Here is an 8,249-nt window from a genome sequence, read left to right on the forward strand (position 1 = left end):
TGAGTTCAAGTTAAAAAATTCAATTATTGCTGGTTAGGAATTATAGGGGAGATTTTTCTCCTCTCTATCCAAAAACTAAAACTGAAGAGAAACTTTCCTGAATTTTTAACTGTGATCTTTTATCTTATCATCTGATCATGTCTCTCTTCTGGGAATTTTTGTTTCATTGAGGGTTACTAGTCCAACCTTCTACATTGATTGGGCACCAACTTTTTTCTCTTGTTCCTGATAGTATGCGTGGCTGGCCAGTTAATACCCAGGCTCCTGAGTACTCAGGATATGATGTTCCAAACCCCCTGAAAGAACAAAGGCCACAGAGCTCATCTATATTAATGCATTATGATCTTTTGATACTTTGGGCCTTAGTTTCCCTTTTACTGACAGCTCACACAATTATTAAAAATGTAATTTAAATGTCAATAGTCATTGTTAAGAGTGTAACTTAAATTTGTGTACTAGAAGGGTTTCTATTGCATATCTAGTCTACTGTCTAGTCTCCAATATTACTGGAAACTGGTCTTTCCAATCTACAGTGTCATAGTGTAATCAGGTTATATACTTAACAGTAAATATTATAAGGTCTCACGTGTTTAAAACATTTGCTTCTTTGTAAATGTCTTCAAGATGAAGGACATATTCCTTATCAAGGCACCTGATCTCCTTCATGATTTGATACTTACTTAGTATTCTTTGTTCTGTTGAAATACTTGCATTGTTTTCCCCATACAATGTATGTCTTGACTCAATGCCTTTACTTGGTTCACTCTCAGCCAGAGGTTTAGTTCAATTTTTGTTGACTTGCCTAACCAATACCCATCCTCAGGCCTGAGGTGATGCTTTGAATAAAAATGCTTTTCTGGGGAAGCATTCTTTGATCTGCCACTCCCTTCCCTCATATGCATCATATTCCATCAGCCCTCTGACTCCATCTGGTCTGTAAGTTGTAGCGTTTGTCATACTGAAAACATTTTGAGGTCATAGACTTCCTTATTTATCTCTTCATCCATGGTGCCTATTATGGCACTTTCCAATAACAAATCCAATAAATGTTGGATGAATGAATATCCTTGTTAAAAATGCTATTACATAATCCAGAAGCTTTAATTGTTGTTTCTTTTTTCACCATCAGTTTTTACAGAGAGCATGTAAATAAAACTTTATACTTTAGTGGTTTGAGGAGGTATAATAGCCCCCTCTTATTGGCAGAGGATATGTTCCAAGACCTCCAGTGGATGCCTGAAACCACAGATAATACCAAACTATATATATATATATATATATATATATATATATATATATATATATATATATACACACACACACACACACACACACACACACATATATATACACACACACATATATATATATATACACACACATATATATATATATACACTATGTTTTTTTTTCTATAGACACATGCCTATGTTAAAATTTGTTTATAAATTAGGTATAGTAAGAGATTGACAACGAGAATAATAGAATAGAATAATTATAGTGACATGCTGTAATAAAAGCTTTGTGAATCTAGTCTCTCTCTCTCTCTCTCAAAATATCTTAATATGTTTGGACCATGGTTGGTCACAAGCAACTGAACCCACAGAAGCAAAACAGAAGATAAGGGGAAATTACTGTATTTTCATAAAATGCTTTCACACACATCATCTCATATGTTAAAGATGACATAGCCTGAATTTTAAAGGTTTATTAGGATTCCAAGTCCAGGTTTAGCTCTGCACTACACCTGTCAGCCCATGAAAATTGTGTAACCCTTAGCTTTATTAATGCCAATGTGTTAACAATAGTGTAATGCTGCTGTTTGCTAATATGATGAATATTTCTAAACTTTTTCAATTTTCTTCATTGAACCTTTTATTTTGTAATTGCAAAAAGTTTTGGCCTAGTCAAAATGAAATTTCATAGTTTTCTGTGGTGCAGTTTAAATGCTGACAAAATCAATTTGATATTAATATTTTTCTCTTTGAGGATGGTCATTTTCCCAGGGCTCTGAAGAAATCAAGAGATTTGATTATCAAAGCTTTTCTCTTGATATTTATGGAGCAAAGTTCAAAATTTAGAAAAGAAATGTCAGATTAAAAGACTGAGGATATAAGGACATTTTATTAGGTAAAGATGCACATTTTGAATATTATTTAAATATACAGCACCTAAATGGAGTGGGGTGTTTGATCTCCTTGAGAACTAGCTATGGTAGTGAACAAGGGGATTCATGAAATTCAGATAGGAAATATGCAATAAACATGGATATCAAAGCCTACTCAAGCTTATCTCGGGAAAAATGTAGCAGAGGTCTTTAAGGTCATGACTGAGCTCAGAGTGGCTAATTAAAAAAAAATTGAAGTGAAATTCACATAACATACAATTACCCCTTTTAAAGCCTGCAATTCAGTGGCATTTAGTACACACATTCAGTTTTGTGAAACCACTACCTCTCTCCAGTTTCAAAAGTTTTCCATCACCTCAGAATACCCTTACCCTCTACTCAATAACAATCACTCTTTATTTTCTCCTACTCTCATCCCCCGGAACCTACTAATTCTGTTCTAGCTGTAAGGAATTGCCTATTCTTGTCAGTTCCCATAAAAAAGAATAATAAAATATGTGATCTTTTATGTCTGGCTTCTTTTATTTAGGATAATATTTCAAGGTTCATGCAAGTTGTAGCATATATCGGTACTGAATTCCTTTTGATGATTGAATAATATTACATTGTGTTTATATACCATAGTTGGCTTATCCACTCTTCTGTTGATGAACATTTGTTTTTTTTCTACCTTTTGACTATTGCAAATAGAGCTGCTATGAAGAATCAGAAATAAGTACTTATTAGAGTACCCAGTTTTGATTCTTTGAGGTATATACCTGGGACTGGAACTGCTCGGTCATATTGAAATTCTCTGTTTAACCTTTTAAAGAACCATCAAATTATTTTCCACAGTGGCTGTGCTATTTAACATTCCCATGAGAAATGTATGTAGATTCTTATTTTTCCATATCCTCAGCAACACATGTTATTTTTCTATTTTTTTTGTTACAGCCATCCTAGTGAGTGTGAAATAACATGTCATTGTGATTTTGATTTGCATTTTCTTAATGACCAATGATGTTGAACATCTTTTCATATGCTTGTTAGCCATTTATATATCTTCTTTAGAGATATGTCTATTCAAGTAATTCGCCCTTTATTTGATCGGGATGTTGGCTTTATTGTTGATGAGTTTAAGTTTGCTTTCTATATTCTAGATAGTAAACCTTATCAGATATATGATTTGCAAATATTTTCTCCAATTCTATAGATTGTCTTTTCACTTTCTGGATAATGTCCTCTGATACACATGTTTTTATTTTTAGGAATAACATTTATTTTTTCTTTTGTTGCTAGTGCTTTTAGTGTCAAATCTCAGAATTTATTGCCAAGTCCAAACTTGTGAAGATTTGCCCTTATGTTTTCTTGTAATAGGTTTATAATTTTAACTCTTAATTTTAGGTCTGTGATTTATTTTGAATTAATTTTTTTTTACATGGCATGAAGTAGGAGCCTAGGTTCATTCATTATTTTATACATTGTTTTCCAATTGTACCAGTACAATTTGTTGAAGATACTATGCTTTTTCTATGAAATGGAGTTGGCACCCTTGTTAAAAATGAGTTGGCCATAAATGTATGAGGTGGGGGTTATTTGGTTCTCAGTTCTACTTCATAGGTTTTTAAGTTTATCCCTATGTCAAGACTATATTGTATAGATGATGCTTTGTTTCCATTTGGGGTATCTGAATGATTATCTTCTCAAAGAAAAATAACTTTGCCCTTCCTTCTACTATCAAATGACAGAAAAGGGGTGTAACAGCATATCCTTGCCATTCCTAATTCTAATACCAGCCAATTACCTATGACAAGAAATGGAAAAAGATGGTGATCACATCCATAAAATCAAATTGGAGTATTATGATATAGTAGAAAAGAAGCGGACTTTGGAATTCAACCTGTCCAGGCTGGAGTCCCAGTTATAGCTAAAATATATTGGGCTTATACTTTTAACCTTTCTGAACCTTAATCTATACTTCTGTTAAATGTGGATGAAAATACCAATCCTATAGTATTTTTGTAATGAGGAGGCATGACATATGTAAATTTCCCCCAGTTCAGTGCCAGACACAATTTGTTATAGAATAAAAAGTTATCAATAATAGTCTTTTTTTTTTTTTTTTTTTTTTTTTTTTAGAGAGAGAACCATATGTAGAGAACTATCTTAAACTTTGAAAAACGGTCTTCTGCAGACTTTAGAAAAGCATTCTATCTTCCCATTTCAAAGTATGCTTCCTAGGAAAATGGCATCTTACTTATTAACCATTATATCTGGCTTTGGAAGTCAGGAGTTAGTGTCTTTTCATTCAGATGCCAAGAGTATGTGCGTGTGTGTGTGTGAGTGTGTGTATCTCTATGAATATATATCCACTCTGTTTGCTTTTGTTTTATATGCTGAGTCTGTAATCCTTACTGTCAGGCACCTTTATTAATATGCGGTGTAAATGCGTCTGAGATCTGTGAAAGAATCCACAAAAAATAAACACAGGTAATGCTATTGCCGGCAATTGAATGAATGAGGGTCTTCTGACTACCATCCCCTGAGTGTACAGTTCTCAGATTTATAACGAAGCCACTTTTTAATATAATTGAATTGTAGATAAGAGAACTTAGAGCCAATTTTATTTCTTTGCAAGAAAATACTTGATTTACATCACACCTCTGGCACTGGAATCTGATCTCTGCAGAAAGCTAGAGATTTGTACACAGTTATACCTGGGTTCAAGTCCACATGCCACCACTGACTAGCTGCATAATCTGGAGTTACTTCACTTCTTGAAACCTTGGTGTTTCATAGGTTAAAGAGAAAGAATACCTCATAGGGCTCTTTGTGAGAATAAAATGCAATTGTTGAAGTGAAACTGCTTTTTGAACCATAAAGCACCACACACATGTGAGCTCTCATTATCATTAATATTTATCACCATTTACGAAATTGTGGAATCTTAAATTAGGAAGATACCTTACAAGCTACTTTGCCAATTAACCAGTTAAGGATTTGCTTCACTAAAAAGTTTGCCCTATTGCTTTGTTGATCTTGCAATGGATCCTTAGATGTGGTACTATTGTAGTGTAAAGTGACATATCCAGTTAAAAATATGACTCACTCAAAACAGGCGACACTCTTCTCAGTGGTCTAAGGTAGTAATGTTTTCCATGTTCACAGGCAGTTCAAATGCCTTTGGTGAATCCAAAAAGGAACTTCTGCTTTAGATTGCTTCTTCAACAGTCCAGGGCCATGCCGTCTCTGAGTGTGCAGATAATGCTGGTTGATGCTAATGGTAACTTGGCCAATTTCTTCTTCCCTAGGTTTCTATTCTCATCCTTAGCCGAGAGAGACTTACACAATTTTGAACATAGGGAATATAGCGGCAGGGCATCTTCAAAACAGAACCTTAAATACTGTAATAATAACTTTAAAGAACGTATTAGGCTAGTTACTCCGTGATGTGGTTTGACTCTGTGTCCTTACCCAAATATCATCTTGAATTGTAGTTCCTATAATCCCCACATGTCGTAGGAGGCACCCAGTGGGAGGTAATTGAATCATGGGGGCGGCTACCCCCATGCTGTCCTCCTGATAGTGAGTTCTCACGAGATCTGATGGTTTATAAGGGGCTTTTCCTTCTTTGCTTGGCACTTCTCCTTTGTCCTGCCATGTGAAGATGTGTTTGCTTCCCAGTCCACCATGATTATAAGTTTCCCGAGGCCTCCACAGCCCTCTGGAACTGTGAGTCGATTAAACCTCTCTCTTTTTTTTTTTTTTTTTTTTTTTTTTAAGATGGAGTCTCGCCCTGTTGCCCAGCCTGGAGTGCAGTGGCTCGATCTCGACTCACTGCAAGCTCCACCTCCCGGGTTCAAGCGATTCTCCTGCCTCAGCCTCCCGAGTAGCTGGGACTACAGGCACCTGCCACCAAGCCCAGCTAATTGTTTGTATTTTTAGTAGAGATGGGGTTTTACCATGTTAGCCAGGATGGTCTCAATCTCCTGACTTCGTGATCTGCCCACCTCGGCCTCCCAAAGAGTTGAGATTACAGGTGTGAACCACCGTGCCTGGCATTTTTTAAAAAAAATAAATTACCCAGTCTTGGGTATGTCCTTATAGCAGCATAAGAATGGACTAATACACTCTATCACCGTGGTCTGATTTTAGATATTTTGCTCAACTTTAATTTATACAATATCTGAGGTCAATGGGAAGATGCTGTTTGTAAATCTAATTTATTCATTTTATTCTTCCATCTCCAGAAACATTCTCATCTTCACTGAAGTAGTAGTATATTTTTCACAAGCATAATTAAGAACTATGTCAGAAAGTGTGCAATTTCAGGATTGCAAGACAAATCGCATTTGTTTTCTCAAATCCTTGATAATAAAACAATGAAAATATGAAATAATGACATATAATGACTAGAATACGTAATATTTTATGATGCTTTTCTATGTTGTACAGTTGTGTGCTTGCACACAGCATTCACTCTCCATTCTTCTGGTAATGCCACCATAATGTTTTTTGGAGAATTATCCTTTCTTCACTCCTAGTCCATATAATTTGGGGGTGTTGGCACCACTCCATTTACTACTTCAACAGTAACTTATTTATTTTTAATATACTTTTTATTTTGAGATAATTATAAATTTACAACCAGTTATAAGAAATCATACTGAGAGATCACATAAATGCTTTATCCAATTTCCTCCAGTAATAAAATTTTGCAAAACCATAGTATAATATAACGATCAGAATACTGTGCTCGGTACCCTCAAGATACAGGACATTCCCATCACAACAAAAATCCCTTTTATAGCCACACCCACTTCTTTCCTGCCCTCATGTCCTCCTTAACTCTATTAACCACTAATATGCTCTCCACTTCTCTAATTTTGTCATTTCAATAAAACTATATAAGTGAGATCATACAGTATCTAAACTTTTGAGACCTTTTTCACTCAGCATAATTCTCGGAGATTCATTCAAATTGTTGTGTGTATTAATAGCTTGTTTCTTCTTGTTTCTGTGTAGTATTCCATAGCACAGGTGTACTGCATTTTGTTTAACTGTTCACCTACAGAAGGACATCTGGGTTGTTTCCAGTTTTTGGCTATTACAAATAAAGCTGATAAAAACATTTCTGTACAGTATTTTTGTGTGTGTGAACATACATTTTTATTTCTCTGGAAGTACAATTGTTGGTTTGTATACTAGTTACATGTTTAGTTTTGAAAGAAATAGCCAAACTATTTTCTGGAGTGGCTGTACCATTTTATATTATAACCAGTAGTGTATGAATGGTCTAGTTTCTCAGCATCCTCCTAATATATGATGTGGGTACTATTTTTTATTTTAGTCATTCTGATGGGATTGTAGTGATACCTCCTATTGGTTTTACTTTTTTAACTTTATTATTTACTATAATTTGTTTATTATTATTATTTTTGAGACAGGGTGTCATTGCCACCCAGGCTGGAGTGCAGTGGCGCCATCTCGGCTCACTGCAACCTCCGCCTCCTAGGTTGAAGCGATTCTCCCACCTTGGCCACTCGAGTAGCTGGAACTACAGGTTCATGCCACCATGACTGGCTAATTTTTGTATTTTTAGTAGAGACAGGGTTTCACCACATTGGCCAGGCTGGTCTTGAAGTCCTGACCTTGTGATCCACCTGCCTCAGCATCTCAAAGTGCTGGGATTACAGGCCTGAGCCACTGCACCTGACCCAATTATCTCTTTCAAATATTTCTTTGTACGTGCTAGAAATAAGAAGTCCAATTCACTGTGATGGGAAATGTCAGAGAGGTTGTGTGTATTGGAGGAGCAACAGGAGGGATCTAGGAAATTTCTGTATCTTATGCTTAATTTTACTGTGAACTTAAACCTGTCTAAAAATAAAATCTAGTCTTAAAAAAAGAATGTGTATTTGCTGTTGTTAATGAAGTGTTGTATAAATATCAATTAGATCAAGTGACAGGAGTGACAACTTCAAAACTCTTTGTATGTTTCAGCTGAAATTGACTAGTTTTAAAAAAGTTCATGGTATTTTTCTACTGTACACCTATTTTAAGGTGTAGCTATTCAGGGGTATCAACTGAAAGTCTGAGGTGTTTACTGGGTTTCTTCACCATAGTAGATTTTGAACTCCAA

Source organism: Homo sapiens, chromosome 1 (genome assembly GCF_000001405.40).
Source record: "Homo sapiens chromosome 1, GRCh38.p14 Primary Assembly".
NCBI classification, from domain to species: Eukaryota; Metazoa; Chordata; class Mammalia; order Primates; family Hominidae; genus Homo; species Homo sapiens.